General features: G+C 42.1%; 1 protein-coding gene across 6 annotated transcripts in view; it reads left to right on the top strand.

Annotated features, from left to right (window-relative positions):
- KDM5B (lysine demethylase 5B) overlaps window positions 1–12,987 on the top strand; it is an 83,927-nt gene extending 70,940 nt beyond the window's left edge. For all 6 annotated transcript variants that reach the window (NM_001399817.1, NM_001347591.2, NM_006618.5 and 3 more), the window contains 7 exons: window positions 1,090–1,269; window positions 1,895–2,053; window positions 3,596–4,081; window positions 5,543–5,654; window positions 6,419–6,573; window positions 7,455–7,775; window positions 8,309–12,987. In NM_001399817.1, coding sequence (NP_001386746.1) covers window positions 1,090–1,269; window positions 1,895–2,053; window positions 3,596–4,081; window positions 5,543–5,654; window positions 6,419–6,573; window positions 7,455–7,775; window positions 8,309–8,446 — 1,551 coding nt within the window. In that variant the 3' untranslated portion in view covers window positions 8,447–12,987. The remainder of the gene's footprint in view (window positions 1–1,089; window positions 1,270–1,894; window positions 2,054–3,595; window positions 4,082–5,542; window positions 5,655–6,418; window positions 6,574–7,454; window positions 7,776–8,308) is intronic.

The raw sequence follows: 17,685 nt of genomic DNA, 5'->3' as shown, positions 1-17,685 counted from the left end.
CATTTCATCCTCCATAACCTTAATGCTTTTACTCTCCTAGTTTGGCTATCTCTTTCTAAAAATACAGTTCCCAGACCAGCAGTATTAGCATCGGCAACAGCAGCTTTACCTGGGAACTTGTTAGAAGTGCAAATTTATGGACCTTCCTCTGACCCACTGAATTAGAATATTTGGGGATAGGACTAAGGAAACTGTGTTTAAACAAGCCTTCCAGATGATTCTTATACATGGTAAAGTTAGAGAACCACTGGGCTGTCTCAACTTATATTTTAGTTTCCTGAATAATTTATATTGAGTTGCTTTAATTAATCATTGGTGAGTGGATTGGGGTAAAATATTGTTTTGTTGCCTTTTATTTGTGTAATTCAGTATGAAAGTCTTGAGTTACTACAAACCTTCATTTCTGTTGAAATTTTTTTCAAACTGTTAATAGGAACCAATGAGATGAATGAATTTAGAAGGGTATAAATAGAACAAAGGGACCACAGTATATGCCATGTTCACATTTGTATCCTTAGAGCCTAGCACAAACTAGGTTCTCTAGGCCCAGCACAGTGGCTCACTGTAATCCCAGCACTTTGGGAGGCCAAGGTGGGAGGATTGCTTGAGGCCAGGAGTTTGAGACCAGCCTGGCCAACATGGTGAAACACCATCTCTACTAAAAATATAAAAATTAGTTGGGCGTGGTGATGGGTGCCTGTAATCCCAGCTACCCGGGAGGCTGAGGCAGGAGAATTGCTTGAACCCAGGAGGTAGAGGTTGCAGTGAGCTGAGATTGCACCACTGCATTGCAGCCCAGGCAAGAGTGATACTCCGTCTTAAAAAAAGAAAAAAAAAACAACACTACCACCACCACCACCAACAAAAGACCCAAACTAGGTTCTCTGTTTGTGTAATGAAGGAACAAATGTCACTTCTACCCCCAATATCATTGGTCAGCTGGCAGGTTAGTCAGCGTTTGTGAATTTAGCATGTTGAGATCATGGAGTAATCTGAAGTACTCAATGGACCAATCTGAATTAAGCTTTTCCTGTTTTTCATAGAAGTGTTCTTTTCTCTAAACTGCTGTAATTTTTCTTGACTTATTAGGCTGGAGGACGTGTGCCAGTGTTAGACACACTCATAGAACTTGTTACACGAGGCCGATCTATCCCCGTACATCTGAATTCTTTGCCAAGACTGGAAACCCTAGTAGCTGAGGTTCAGGCTTGGAAAGAATGTGCTGTTAATACATTCTTGACTGAGAATTCTCCATATTCTCTCTTAGAGGTAAGTTTACAACCAGCTCATCTGCAAGACCTTAGATCTCCTAGTTTGGTAAAACATGCAGTTCATCACATACAAAGATGACATCACAGATTAATCTATATTCTGTGAGTTGTTCTTCCCGTAAAGCCAGGGAGACTCTTCTAATTTTCTGGTGAAGCAACCTTTAAATGTTTTCTTGGTTGATTTAGCATAACAGTATCTAAAGAAGAAAATTTTTTCCTATTGGGTGAAATTCCTCTGTGTTGAAATTGGACTCTTAAACTTGGCCGTGCTTCGCCCACCTGAATTTAGTAAGCCTGATAAATGATCTCCCCCATTTTTTAAAAGTGCTTTAACTGCACTTTTTGTATTTTCTGTAAACTTGCTTGTGCATCATGACTGGGATCAACCAGTATATATCACATTTTTAACTTGTTACTTAATTGAATAAGGAATCAGTCTATCTTTTATGAGTCTTCCTCCTCCTTTTGTAAAGGAGAGCCTCAGGGTTGCATGTTCCAAAGAAAATCTTCAATACTAAGAAATGCACATCCTTTTTACTGCTTAGGCTTTTATTTTGGGACTTCCTACATAATGCTTTATCTGAAATTTATTTTACCATTGGTTGTGCCTTGTCCCACATTAGGTGCTGTGTCCTCGATGTGATATTGGCCTTTTGGGATTGAAAAGGAAGCAGAGAAAGTTAAAGGAGCCCTTGCCAAATGGAAAGAAAAAAAGCACCAAATTAGAGAGTCTGAGTGACCTGGAGAGAGCTTTAACTGAAAGCAAGGAGACTGCTTCAGCTGTATGTAGGGTTTTTTTCTTCTCCTTTCTATGTTATTGGGAAGAATAATTTCTAACCCTTTCTGTTTTATAGGAATTTGGAGAAGGCAAGTAGAGTAACTTGAAAGCGTTCAGTTTTACTAAAAAGACTTTTTGAAAATTGTCAAGTGTTAAGAGTTTTGAATGGTAAGATGCATAGAGGTGGGAAAGATTCAGGGTAGGCTTCCCAGTCTCAGGGTCTTGCAGGCACAGAAACAGTCTTGTTTAGTGCCTGTGGGTTGATCCAGGAATGCTAACTAAAGATATTGAGACTAATATTAATAGATGTATGAAAATGCAATGCTAATTTATTAGTTTATAGTTAAGAAGTACATTTAAAAGTTTACTGGATACTTTGATACTCATCTGGAATACCTTACATCTCTGACCTGCATTTAGTAAATACTGTTGATTCAAAGATGATAGTTTAAAGAAGATGAGGCAATGTATAACTAATGTTACACATTAAGCACCTTATCGGGATAAAAAAGGGATAGCTATGTGATGCTTTTAATGGCACAAAGCATTGCCCGTTCTAGAGTGGGAATGTATACCTGCTACTGGGACTAGATTGAATGGGTTCATCTGTGGATCTGGACACCTTCTCCCATTGATTTCTTTGTAGCTGCCAGACCTCTTGTGATAGACATGGGTTGCCTTGATTTATTTAGGTATTTTGACACAGATGTTCTTAGTGTATATTCGTATATTCAGTCAGGTTCTAGACAGAATTCTGCCATCAGAGGTCCTCCATTCCATCTGTGGTTTGTTTTTATAAAGACTAACTGAAAGTTACAGTCCCCCTCTCCTGAGGTGTATATATGTTGGTTTGAAACTTTATATGCAGTATCTTTTGTAGATTTTAGTCTGTCCATCTGTCTGTAGACCCCTGGTTTTAAGAATTCTCCCTACGTATTATCTGTTAATTTATGGTAGAACTCAAAGGTTAGTCATTTGCTTTCCATCTCTAAGCTGTCAGAAGTTACCTTGTTATCATATAACCCACACATATTACCTGTGTATTATATTTACAAAAGAAGTGGATTTTTTTTTTTTTTTAATATACCCAAAGGTCTTTACCTGATTTGCTTTTAGGCTTTTTTTTTTTTTTTTTAATAGAGATAATGGAGAGTTTATTCTGGCCTTGTAAGGGTGCTTCATCTGGTGAATCGTGATGGATCTGAAAGGGGATAGATGTGGTGATTGGAAATGGTTTTTTAACTGTGACAGATTTTTTGAGAACTTGTTTACTATGTGCCAGGCAAAGAGTGTCCTATCCCACATCTCTTACTTGTCATCTCACCCTGTAAGGTGGGCACTATTATCACCTCCATTTTACACATGCAGAAATTTAGCCACAATGGAATACATGGCACCAGGTCACTCACAGCTTAGTATGAGGCAGTCAGGATTTGAATACAGATGATCTACTCAGGATCCCATGCTCTTAACCACTAGGACTCTGAGTTTTAGGGGAAGGCCAAGCCATCTCGGACATCATCCTTGATTGTTAACTCTTTTTCAGATGGCAACTCTTGGGGAAGCTCGCCTAAGGGAAATGGAAGCCTTGCAGTCTCTCAGACTCGCCAATGAAGGGAAATTGCTGTCGCCTCTCCAAGATGTGGATATAAAAATCTGCCTATGTCAGAAGGCCCCAGCTGCCCCTATGATTCAATGTGAACTCTGCAGGGATGCTTTCCACACCAGTTGTGTGGCGGTACCCAGTATTTCACAGGGCCTGCGAATCTGGCTTTGTCCCCATTGTCGGAGGTCAGAGAAACCTCCATTAGAGAAAATTCTGCCCCTGCTCGCCTCCCTTCAGCGTATCCGAGTTCGCCTTCCTGAGGGAGATGCACTTCGATATATGATTGAAAGAACCGTGAACTGGCAGCACAGAGCCCAGCAACTGCTTTCGTCAGGGAATCTTAAATTTGTGCAAGATCGAGTGGGCTCAGGACTGTTATATAGCAGATGGCAAGCCTCAGCAGGACAGGTGTCAGACACAAACAAGGTGAATCTGGACTTTCCTTGTTGGGTTATTGGAATTTGCAAAGCTCTGTACCTTTCTCTCGAACCTGTAGCTTTGGTGTTGCTATTCCCTTGGTGTGATCACTTTACTGTTAACAGCACCCACTTTACCTGTAGCTTCCCACTTCAAGACCATGCAGGTATAACATATTCTTTTAATTTCCTCTGCTCCTATTAGAAGTTGTTTCCCAGGCACTCTTTCTATAGAGCACATATTTAGCTTTTCACAGATACAAATAATTTTTTCATTTATATGTATGCTGACCCATTTATATTTTACATATACGTATATGATGTATCTTTAAGTCTTTGCTTGACTAAAAAGTTTTTTACCCTGCTTCTTCTCATGTAAGTCAATTAGTAGAAAGGGAAAACACTTCCTGCCTTTTATCGCTTTTTGCCCTTTAAGGGAAAATATTTTTTGGAAGAAGTGTTTGAGCACTGTGTTATTTCAGAGGAAAGCTCCTGGGTTACACACCATTTGCGATCTTTCTGCCAAAAGCTGGATTCTTTTGACATCACTGGATGGGCAGAGTTTTCTGTTATCTTCCATAGGTGGCTGCAGTAAAAGAATGTGAAGACAATAGAAAAGTACAATCAGGAAGACAGTATTCAATCTTTATGAGGTTAATCTGATGGTTTTTAAAGTTGGTAAACATCTCTGTACCAGAGATACCACAACTCTCTTGTGCCATATGAGCACAGACACATGGATTATATGAGTTAAATTGTTGATAAGATGAAGACCAAACAAAAAAAAAAACAGTCTGTCATATTTGTTTCCTTGGTTTTTTATTTCTTTGCAGGCTTCTGAAATACAGTGCCTGACACATAGATGATGAATTAAATATTTGTTGCATAGATGAGTTGTGGCATTTGTGCACACTCCCAAAGTGGAGTCATTGGTGTTCTTTACCCAGGATGTGCTAGGAGTTTACCTTTCTTAGTAAAGGGAAAGGACACAACTCTTATATTAATTCATGGTCAAAGGAGTGTTTCCCCTAGCTCCTTTAATAAAACACTAAGGAAGATAGGAAAGTGGTTATGGATGATTTCTGACAGGTCCTCATTTGATTTACTCAAAGGGGTACATATGTGTTCATCGTATTTTAATCTTCAATAAGGAGAATTAGAAAAGGATTAAAAGGCTGTATGATCTGTTCTCACACTGAGAAAGTGGCTTATTTCCCAGTGGCCTTCTTTACATCTCTGAAATCAGTCCAAGTAAAACTGGAAAGATTAAAGGCTTGGTCTTTGGGAAGATATGAGTTGATTTGGCCAGTTCTGAAATGCCAGGAGACTCTTCAGTAGGGGAAAATCAAGTTGTTTTTTTTTTTTTTTCCCCTGGTTGCCTGCCTGGGTAATGCAAGCTACTGTCATTGGACTAATGGGAGTATTTTTAATCCTGAAGAGATTTTATTATAAAACGTTTTCCCTCCATTAGGTATCTCAACCTCCTGGCACAACATCATTTTCTTTGCCTGATGACTGGGACAACAGAACCTCATATTTGCACTCCCCCTTCTCAACTGGACGAAGTTGTATCCCCCTCCATGGTTTGTATTTTGTTATTACGTTGAGGGCTGGATAGTAATGAGTGATCTTGTATTACTAGGTTTTTATTATAGATGATCAAGTACCATAAAAAGGACTTTATGCTGAAATGTAGGATATAGGCTATTATGTATTTGCAAAATAGGGAAGGGATCCTATTTGAAGGCTTATAAATGCAAAGGAACAGAGAGGAAGACTTTATATCCATTGTCCTCAGGGATGAAAGGGTTCATGCCACACCAGCTGATAAACACCAAGCTTTTAAGTCAGATGCTAAGTCATGGGCTCTCTTGTTGCTTCATTACTTAGGAGACTTGTGGAGAATCTTAGGGATAATCCACATTTGCTAGAGTCCTGATCCTTAGTCATAGCATCTCAGTGTATGTCTAGTAATGTGGTTAGAGCTCCTTGATCTACTCAGACTGTTGACACTGTGGCCATCAGTCTGTTTCTGTGCTTTCTGTTAGAAGTCATCAAGGCAGAAGTACAATCTCTTCTGCATTAGCAATAAGGTAAATGAGAAGAGGATTCAGTGTATAATTAATACTAGTAATCAGAAGACTTAGGAAATCTAGTTTTGGCTCTGTTTATTATATTGTGGCTTTAGGCACATTAAACCTCACTTCAACTGAAGGTAATTTGTAATTTAAGAAGGAGAGGGTAGTAGTGGTATTAGGGGCAGTCCTTCTATTTGTCTCATAAACCCAAATGTGAATGTGAAACACCCTTTGTTGTTATCATTTTGATTTGGTCTGGTCTTTTACAGGTGTTAGTCCAGAAGTGAATGAACTATTGATGGAAGCCCAGCTGCTCCAGGTATCCCTTCCTGAAATTCAGGAACTTTACCAGACTTTACTTGCAAAGCCAAGCCCTGCTCAGCAGACTGACCGAAGCTCACCAGTGAGACCCAGCAGTGAGAAGGTGAGTGTCTGAGAGGCTTCTGGGGCAAGGCACAGTCTGGGGTGGGGGTATGCTTTATTTTACTCCTCGAAACATAACCAGACAGCTGGTGTGAGGACTGGGCGATTAGACTGAGGATGACCCATTTTGAATGCTGACTTAGTTGAAGGATACTCCTTAATGTCCTGTTTCTTAACATAGTTAAGGATACTGCGGCTGCTGCCACTTCCTTCTAGTGAACTAACTGACCCATCACATTTAAGGCCCCTGAGAATATAGTTAGGATAGAAATCTACTAGGAAGCCTGAAGCCAAATTAGGGAAGAACTTCACTAAAGATAGCATGAGGGCTGATGTTGGCATTTAGAATTTCATTTTTCATGGCAAATTTCATTTGCCATACCAAGTAGTATGGCACAATCATTGAATGTGTTCAGTTAATGCGCCTTACACCTATAAGGTGTGGGGGTGTACATCCTTCAAGAAGGAAGATTATTAGTGTGGTTCCTCAGGAGCCTGTAGGTCACAGGATAGACATAAACACCTAGACAGAAACTATTATAGTAGTTAGTCATTCAGGGATTTGGTGAAAGGAAGACTCTTAGTGGGCACCTCTCCATCTTCTGGTATTGGTTGGTTAATTGGAAGGGTAATCACGTCTTTAACATTCCTTTTTCCAGTGATCCTTTGGTAGCATTAACAGTGATAGGGGAAGGAAGTATGTTAAACCCAAACTGGTTGTCTTATACAAGACTGGGAGGGGAGTGGTTAAGATGCAGTATTTTTTTCCCGTGTAGATTGGGGGATCATCTGATTTCTAATTTACATGTTCTCTTTAGCTTCATTAGTTTTAGTAATAGGTGACCCATAGGCGAAAATTGAACTTTCCTATCTTCCACCCAGAATGACTGTTGCCGAGGGAAGCGAGATGGAATTAACAGTCTTGAGAGAAAACTGAAGAGACGCCTGGAAAGAGAGGGCCTCTCCAGTGAGCGGTGGGAACGAGTTAAGAAAATGCGGACCCCCAAAAAGAAGAAAATCAAACTGAGCCACCCCAAGGACATGAACAATTTCAAGTTAGAGAGAGAGCGTAGCTATGAATTAGTTCGTTCTGCTGAAACTCATTCCCTGCCCTCAGACACATCCTATTCCGAACAGGAAGACTCTGAGGATGAAGATGCCATCTGCCCAGCTGTGAGCTGCCTGCAGCCAGAAGGAGATGAGGTCAGTGAGGTTTGGGCCATAGAGGACGTGCTTTCCCTTAACTCAGAAACCCTGTAAGCTAGACCTCATCTCGCTGGGTCTTTCTCCTCTGCTTATCTGCTTTGAGCTGATCTGAATGGATTGCTCAGCCCTTCCCCCACTGATATCTGTGCTCTTACCATCGTTCCTGGGTCTCCTCCCTTTTCTTGAAGAAACTCTTGTTCTTCCCTTTTTCCTTTTCTTGCTCTTCCAGCTTTCACCTTCCCGGCGCTAAGAAGGTGGGAGGGATGCTGATGTGATGCCCTTTGGCTTACTTATCACAGGGCAGCGCTGTCTTAACCCCAAAGCAGACACGACTTGAAGAATGACTTTGACTCGGTTGCTTTGGCTAGGGGGCCAGCTACACTCATTTGGCTTAGCTGTTGTGCCAGAGGTCCCAGTGGTGGGACAGTGGCTGTTATTGGCAAACGGCCTGAATTTCTTGAGGCTGGCCTGCCCAATTTTGAATCCATTTTTTCCTCTGAAAACCCCATCTTCCTGCTCTTTGTAACCAGGTGGACTGGGTCCAGTGTGATGGCAGCTGCAATCAGTGGTTTCATCAGGTCTGTGTTGGTGTCTCCCCAGAGATGGCAGAGAAAGAAGACTACATCTGTGTGCGCTGTACTGTGAAGGACGCACCAAGCCGAAAGTAAAAACACAAAAACAGATACCCCCCTACTTAATGTAATTCAGGACTCCAACCAAGAGGATTTCTTCAAATCTCAGCAAAGCTACAGGACTGGTACTCAAGCCAGCCTGTAAACGGTGCTATTTCTATTCCTTATGGGATCATTTTTCCAGGACTCTTTGAAGAAAAGAAAAAACAACTAAAAAAATTTTTGACACTTTTTGTATTTTTTCCTTAAGAGCTATTTGTGGTTGTTGAGGTTTGAAAAGCTGACTGTTTTTTTTGCAGGGGTTCCCACCAATTTGGAAGGCATTGAAGCTTGCACCTTTTCATGTACAGCATTAAAATTTTACCTCTCTCTGGGATTTACCAGCTTAAGAGTCCAACTCACTTCCAGTGCCCAAAAGGGCACCCACCAGAAATTCCAGTAAATCCTCATTTGAGGAAGCTCTCCCTTGTTTACTCTGTTACCACATTGGGGAAATTTTTAAGTTTTTCACTTTGGGAGTTTTTGTTTGTTTCTTCTTTTCCTTTATCCACTTTTCTTCTTCCTGGTAGACTAGGTTTATTTATCTGAGCAATAACTTCTATGTTGGTTTCAGTGGCTGGAATTAAAACAAAACAAAACAAACTTCCAAACAGTGTGTTGGTGCTTTAGCGATTGATTGATGTACAGAACACAAATGTCTAGTTTCTAGTGTCACTGATGAACTAGTGATGTAGAAAAGAGACTTCTCTGTAAGTAATTGCCACAGCTGTATTTTGGCTTTCTCCCTGTCCCTTCCTTTCTCCCCTATTTTTTGGTAGCTTGTATCAAATGTTACAGTTTATATTGTGGAATAAATCCTTCGTCCTAACATAACACTAAATGCTGATTATTTAGAGCCATTAGAGCACAGCTTCTTCTGCCCCTCTACTGTTGCACAGCCAGAAGGGGCTGCTTGCTTTTGCCTCTGCCCAACCAGGTTGCAGTAGCAGTGGATGTTAGCCTGCAAACAACATTAGGGGATTCTTCTTTTGTGTCCTGCTCTGTTTGGTGGGCCATATGCCTACAGCCCTCACTAACAAAGAACCCCTCTGTCTTCAAGGACTAGAACCTATCTTTAAAGCCGTGCTCTTTTAAAATAAGCTTTCTCAGAATGTTGGCAAATCACTTCAATCCTCAAATCAGTCTTCCTTGTGGAATGCTGCCTTTATTATATTTGAATTGACAGGGGAACTTGGTTTAGGGTTAAGACGTTGGAAGGAAATCTAAGGAAAATTAATCCTCACAGAGGTCCGGGTTTAGTATATGTCTTGAGAGGAGACTTGTGAATTCCCAGACTCTGCCTCCTGGTTTCCTTTCTCATTTCTTTCTAACTGTAGCTATCATTACTGGCTGTGGATAGCCCATAGCTATTTTCCTTGCTTTTCTTTTTTAAAGGGGTCTGTTCTGCAGTGGAGAAGACATTCTGGTGACCAGACTTTTGCTTACCTTTTCCTATTCTGTTGCCAATTTTTGTTTTCCCCACATTCTATAGCCATAAACCTGAAGATGAGTAAAACTGGTGGGTCTTTAATAAAACAACAACAAAAACAGCAGTTTGTGATATAGCAGAGGTTTAAATGTACCCTCCCCTTTTATGCACTTCAAATAATTAAATCTCTTTAAGAATGACTTCTAGTTGTCTGCAGTTTTCTGCAGTTGTTGTGATGTTTCTCTTCGTCTGATGGTGGTTCTGGGGCCAATAGAGAAGAATAGTCTCCAGAGTACAATTTGGAATCATCGTGGTTTGGCCTTGTTAGTATTCAAATTCTTAGAATCCCCTCCATCACCCCCGACTTTGAGATAGGATGCCAACTGTCCCAGTCCTCACCTTCCATTGAGAAATTAAGCTTAAAAGGAGACCCTGCTGCTAATATAAAGCCACTGCCTTTAGAGAGCTTTTGCCATCTTAGTAAGCACAACCCCTACCCCCATCCCCACTAGTTTTTCTTCTTCACCTGTGGGTGGTGGTACACAGTCCCTGACAATAGCATCTTTGAGGAAGTCAGATCTTTGTATCTCTGAGTGAGTTAGAAAAGGTAGGCATGTGTGTATTTGAACCACTCCCTCCCTGGATGAGAACCACTGATCATTTTATGTGTGATGATGCTGAATTTAAAGAGAATGTCAGTTGCCCAAAGCTACACTGTACTACTAGTAAATAACAAAGCCTGGGTTTTATCTTCCAGTTTTCCTACAGTATTCCTCCTACCTTGTACACCATCACACTACTAATGAACACAGATAACGTTTACTTTCCAGTTTATGCCTTTGTTGTATCCCTAAAATGACTACAGACTGATGTGATCTAAAAACCATGTTTCATTGTGTGTTAGCTGTGAAGCTGGCCTGTACCAGAGAAACCTCTGAACTTGTAGGGGAAAATGATAAAATGCACATGGAAACTGACACTTCAGTTTCCATCTCAGTAGTCCTGCAGCTTTGTGAGGTGGGAGAGGGGAAGGGACTGTGTTAAGTTAGAGCCTGAACCAGAAGGAGGGTCAGTGGGTAAAGAAAGAAAGGGTAGATGAGGTGTGCCTTCCACCTCACCTAAATGAATACTGTTTGTTTTTTGTTTTTCCTTCCAGATTAGACTTTGGGGGATTTCTTATATAGAATAAAGGGCTTGATTATATGTAGCCTCTATCCTGGAGAAAGGTTATGTAATTTGGACTATGTAAAGGAAGTTGACTTCTTTACAGCTTCGTTTCAGTATCCTAGGAGGTGGGATTCATTTTTCTATCTTAAGTTAACCTAAAGGAGAGATGCCACTTGTGGTGATGGAGGTTGTTAAAAACCTGAATTTCCCTGCTTCATTCTCCAGTGAAGAGCTTAAGAAAATGAGGCTTTGGATATTTTGGCAGAAGTGTCTGAAATGCACCTGATTTGCCATTATACCCACCATCAAAAGCAACATGGCCCTTTGGGTATTAGTGCAAGATTAGCCTAAGAATAGAGTAGATCTCTACCTGGAAGAGGGTGAAACATGGCTCTCTACTGATTTGGGTTGTACTCTGAAGGCCCTTTGTAATGGGTTTCTGCCTCTTTGTATTTCACTTAAAAAATCTTGATGGATATTTGGCAGTCTGTTAAGACCTGCTTCTGGCTTGGAGCAGGTATTGATTGGTATTTAGTACCCATGGGTGTTTTTCTGGGCTCAGTCTTGCCTATGTTTCTTGCCATATGACACATACCGGAATGGATTCCAGATGCTATATACCTGTAACAGGAGACAGAATTGGACAACAAGGATTTTAAGAGTCATTGCCCATTGTAAAGCATTAAGCCAGAGCTGGTTATTCATTATCAGACTAACTACATACTAGTCCATGCTAGTGTCAGCCTATATTAAAATAGTCTTTCCTTGCCATAGTGCTGGCGAAAACCCAATCCCTTCTGATGAAACATTGCTTCTTGGGAAGACAAGCTGAGGAAAGCAATGAAGATCCCAGTGTCGGCCTTTATTGAGCTATGTATGAGGGTCAGGGTCCCTCAACTCCTAGTGACTATGAAGCAGCAGTGTGATGGCTTCGCCCTCTTTGCCCCTCTGTCATCAATCCTTTGCATGTGGCTATTTTAAGCTTCTCAGCTTTCTTTTGGGAGGCTTCATGTGTAACTTATTATAGAAATGTTACTGAAAAGCTGCCTAAACAAAAAATTGTATAAAGTAGGAATTTGTATAAAGTAATACTGTTGTAAATCCATCTTCAAGATGTAAAGAATCAATTTGTAAAGTGTATATTTTCACTTCTCCCTTCAAATTTATGTGAACAAGTTTTTCATGTTTCAATATTGCTTACATAGGAATACACCTTACGTTTTTATCAGTATAAATGGAACATTTAAAACCAGTCAACAACAGAACAGATAATCCAGCTCCCTGTTTGTGTTCTGGGTTAATTTTGCAAGGATGAAGGGCTAGAAAGTGGTGAGTTTCGGTGTGTTTCTTATTTTCAGGATAACCGGCTGCATTGCAGTAGAGGAATGGAATGGTGAGGTCATTTGACCTGTTCCAGGTGAGTGGAGGCCAAAGAACATTCTTTCTGCCTCCCCTTGGATGGGAAAATTGAGAAATTAAAAAGTTGCCTTTCTGAGGAAACAAAAGTTATTTTCTCTATTTAAAATAAATGTCCAAAGGCACCCCTCTAAACACCAAAACTTTTAGCTCCTGGCAAACTTACCTAGCTAGAAGTTGGAGAAGAGTGCGGTTTCAAACCATGCTTCCTTTCTGCCCTTGCCAATACGTTCTCACTGACTGTGATTCTGCTGTGAACACACACACACACACAAACACACACACAAGCCCCTTCTGTGTATGATCAGGACAAGTAGTTCAACAGTTAATAAAAAAGTTAAATTATTGGATGAGAAAGATATATTTAACCTAAATCATAAATATGTATATCCATTTAATAAACACTAAAATTGAGAAAAATTAGTTTGGGGATGAGGGCCTTCATTCATAATAGCCATAATGCATTATCTATGATGTGAGCTTGATTGAGCTTCTTTAAAATGCATAAAGAATTTGAACAACAAAAGAAATTTGATTTTTTTTTTTGAGACAGTGTTTCACTCTTGTTGTCCAAGCTGTGGTGCAATGGCACAATCTCGACTCACTGCAACCTCCACCTCCCAGGTTCAAATGATTCTCCTGCCTCAGCCTCCCAAGTAGCTGGGATTACAGGCATGTACCACCACACTCGGCTAATTTTGTATTTTTAGTACAGACAGGGTTTCACCATGTTGGCTAGGCTGATTTCGAACTCCTGACCTCAAGCGATCCACCCGCCTCAGCCTCCCAACATGAGCCACCACACCTGGCCTAGGAATTTGATTTTAGAATTCTAAATACTTATCATTTTCTCCAATCTTTTGTAAGAATTTTACCCACCTAAATAGACAGTTTTACAACTAACTCAATCTGGTTTTTATAAAAACTCTTTACACACTCATTTCATTGGTTTATGTAATAGTCAAAACATAGTTACTATAACAATTTGACCTAGTATATGATTAGGAACAAATACTACTTGGTGAGAGCAGGCCACAGGTGCTCGGCAGGCCGAGACCACGAGTATATTTTACAGAAGGAATGTAGAGGGAGAGCATAGGTTGGTCGAAGTTGCTTAAGAGTGTATTAGTATCTGGTTGTGTGTGTGTGTGTGTGTGTGGTTTTTGGTTTTGTTTTTGTTTTTTTGAGACAAGGTCTTGCTCTTTCACATAGTTTGGAGTACAGTGGCGTGATCATAGCTCAATGCAGCTTCCACCTCCCGTGCTTCAAGCGGTCCTCCCACCTCAGCCTTCCAGGTAGCTGGGACTACAGGTGTGGGCCACCAAGCCTGGCTAATTTTTAAAAAAGTTTTTTTGTAGAGATGGGGTCTCACTATGTTGTCCAGGCCGGTCTCAAACTCCTGTGCTCATTGGGGGATCATCCTGCATTGGCCTCCCAAAGTGCTGGCATTACATGCAAGAGAGTGTCTGTTTTTAAATCACTTGGTCTGCCTCTTGCAAGACTTTCTTCTTTTTTTTTTTTTTTTTTTTTGAGATGAGGTCTCACTCTGTCACCGAGGCTGGAGTGCAGTGGCGCAATCTCGGCTCACTGCGACTTCTGCCTCCTGGGTTCAAGTGATTCTCCTGCCTCAGACTCCCAAGTAGTTGGGATTACAGGTGCCCACCACCATGCCCAGCTAATTTTTGTACTTTTAGTAGAAACAGGGTCTCACCGTGTTGGCCAGGCTGGTTTCGAGCTCCTGACCACAAGTGATCTGCTTGGCTCGGCCTCGCAAAGTGCTGGGATTACAGGAGTGAGCCACTGCACCTGGCCTCTTGCAAGACTTTCTAAGCTCCTAGGAGAAGCCTGGTGTTTAAGATGCTCCATAGCTTCTGAAGCCATCCTAATCCACTGGCCAGTTATAGCACACTTGGAATTTTGTTCTTTTAATGCTTTTAACCCATCATAGTCACTGTTACTATGTCACAGGCATGGAAACTAAATAGATGAAGCAACACTTCACTAAGCCCGTCCTTAGGAGAGGTGGGCTTTGGAATAATATGCGGGCCTTATCCCTGATCTGGGCCTTAGCCTTATTGTAAGGAGGAGCTCTTGGTCTGGTTGCTTTGCTAGTTCCTTGTCCAGGACATTCTACATGTCTCAAAGAACTAAGAATATTGGTCCTGGAATTGGTGAACCTGCTTCATCTCTGTTGCTGTCCCCACATTTCCTCTTACTTCCAGCCAGCAGGGAATAGAGTGGGCAAATGTGACTTAGGGTTTAACCTCCAGTCACTGATAGATCACTTATTTTTTTTTATAGCCCTGTTTGTGGAGTACTTTTATTTTTTAGAGATGTCTTGAAATCTAGCAGCCATGTTTAGCCTTGAAGTGGCCACCCTCAAATGACCAAAATGCCTCAATGATTAGTTTCCTTTTCCCTCTTGAGACCAAGAACCCATGGTCCTTAACATGGTGTGTTTCACAGATACCTCTGTACATTAGGCAATTTCACAAGAGGCAGATCCTGGGCACAGGCTTCTGGACTTTGGCATGCCTTAGGAGATTAGCAGAGGACATGGTGGACATGAGTGCCCACAGCCTGTTTCTGTGCCCTCTTCATTTCCATACCACCTCACACTCCACTCAAACCCTTCAAGGAGCAAGAGTGAACAACTAAAGCAGGTCTTACTGAATCAAGGAAAAGAATGTCCAGTTAAGCAGAGGGGAGTTAGAAGAGAGAATAAGGCAGTGTGACTGAATATGCAAGCACTTACCTCAACATCGTTCCCATTGATTTCATTCAGTATGTGTCCTTTGAGCCACGGCTAAACTTAGGGCAACTCTGGCTGCCACTTCAGCTTGGCCACCAGATAGCACCATTCGGTTTCCATAAGGGCCATGTATCCTCTTGCCATATTGATGGCTGGTCCTATTGGTCAGAAGGAGGGAAAAACATGACACTGAGTTTAGGTACTAATCTTCAGTTAAGATTATTAGGGGTTGTAAGTCGCCAGCCCTTAATAGCGGAGAAAACCTTTGGGTCTTTGCATACCTCCTCCTCTAAACTTTGGTCATGGGATAGGTTTATGTATAGATCAAAGGGAAAATGGGAAGAGTCGAGGTGCTCTTGGTATAGGCATTACAATTTAAGTGATGACCACAAGGAAAGGCGGCCCTGGACAGAGGGCCAAAGTGTGCTGATCGGAAACTTCACTGTTAATTCCTTACCCCAGAGCCACCTTCACTGGACAAGGGTGGAGGACAGAATTGGCATGTATTATTACTGAAGGCTTTTTATGAGTCCAGAATGATGAGGTCCTCAGGGAAGCGGACATAGGAAGGTATCATTATCTCCTTTGCTAGATGGCCTATAGACTGAGCACCGAGGAATCAGTTGTGGAGGAGGTGTGACTTAAACTGGGATATGGGCAGAAGTTGCATAAGGCTTGTGGCCAGTAGCTGAGCCAGACTCCAATCCCATGTCCTTTTAATACTATGACCTCTATCACATCTATGAGTTTAAAAGACAAAACACCGGGCGCGGTGGCTCATGCCTGTAATCCCAGCACTTTGGGAGGCTGAGGTGGGTGGATCACCTGAGGTCGGGAGTTCGAGACCAGCCTGACCAACATGGAGAAACCCCGTCTCTACTAAAAATACAAAATTAGCCGGGCGTGGTGGCACATGCCTGTAATCCCAGTTACTAGGGAGGCTGAGGCAGGAGAATCACTTGAACCTGGGAGGCAGAGGTTGCAGTGAGCCGAGATCGTGCCATTGCACTCCAGCCTGGGCAACAAGAGCAAAACTCTATCTCAAAAAAAAAAAAAAAAAAAAGACGCACCGGGCGCGGTGGCTCATGCCTGTAATCCCAGCACTTTGGGAAGCCGAGGCAGGCAGATCACAAGGTCAGGAGATCAAGACCATCCTGGCTAACACAGTGAAACCCCGTCTCTACTAAAAATACAAAAATTTAGCCGGGCGTGGTGACGGGTGCCTGTAGTCCCAGCTACTGGGGAGGCTGAGGCAGGAGAATGGCATGAACTTGGGAGGCAGAGCTTGCAGTGAGCCGAGATGGTGCCACTGCACTCCAGCGTGGGCGAGAGTGTGAGACTCCATCTCAAAAACAACAAAAACAAAAACAAAAACAAAACACTTCTATAGCACTAACTACCAGATATTGTTCTTATGGCTTTTTTTTTTTTAATTGAGACAGAGTCTCACTCTGTCGCCCCAGCTGGAATGCAGTGGCGAGATCTCTGCTTACTGTAACCTCCACCTCCTGGGTTCCAGCGATTCTTACGCCTCAGCCTCCCAAGTAGCTGGAATTACAGGCCTGTGCCTCCATGCTGGCTAATTTTTGTATTTTTAGTAGAGATGGGATTGCACCATGTTGGTCAGGCTGATCTTGAACTCCTGGCCAACTCCTGGCCTCAAGTGATCTGCCCCCTTCAGCCTCCAAAAGTGCTGGGATTACAGGCGTGAGCCACTGCGCCCAGTCTTATTAGGGCTTTACATATGTTATTTAATCCTTGTAACACATGAGGTAATATTTCCCTGTGGGTGAGGGTGGAAGGCTGGAATTTTGATGCAAAATTGTGCCCTCACTTGTAAGCTTAAAAAAAAGATCTGCCTCTATAGGATAACTTGTTAGCTTTAGAGTTCAAAATAAGGAGCATGCTCCATATCTGCCAGATCCTTGGATGTGGGGGCAACTCCAGCGTTCTTAAAAGGAAGGCTGGCCGGGCGCGGTGGCTCACGCCTGTAATCCCAGCACTTTGGGAGGCTGAGGCGGGCAGATCACGAGGTCAGGAGTTCGAGACCAGCCTGGCCAACATGTTGAAACTTCGTCTCTACTAAAAGTACAAAAATTAGCTAGGCATGATGCCATGCGCCTGTAGTCCCAGCTACTCGGGAGGCTGAGGCAGGAGAATGGCATGAACCCAGGAGGCAGAGGTTTCAGTGAGCCGAGATCGTACCACTGCTCTCCAGCCTGGGTAACAGAGCTAGACTCCATCTCAAAAAGGAAAAAAAAAAAAAGGAAGGCTGTGCCCAAGTCTACTGCTTTTTTGCTCAGGAAGACAAATTAGTAGCCCAGTCTGAACTAATGGCAATCACAGTTATCTTTCTTGCTTGTAATATCAATCCCCTAATATACTGAAACCATAGGGTGGGGCAGGTGGGATGGGATGTTGGAGAGGAAGTGGCTGTTTTCCAGGCCCTTCGGGACAAGCCAGGAGGAGCTT

This window comes from Homo sapiens, chromosome 1 (genome assembly GCF_000001405.40).
Source record: "Homo sapiens chromosome 1, GRCh38.p14 Primary Assembly".
Lineage (NCBI taxonomy): Eukaryota > Metazoa > Chordata > Mammalia > Primates > Hominidae > Homo > Homo sapiens.
The sequence above is the reverse complement of the archived record's forward strand: the minus strand, read 5'-3'. Positions and strand labels throughout refer to the sequence as shown.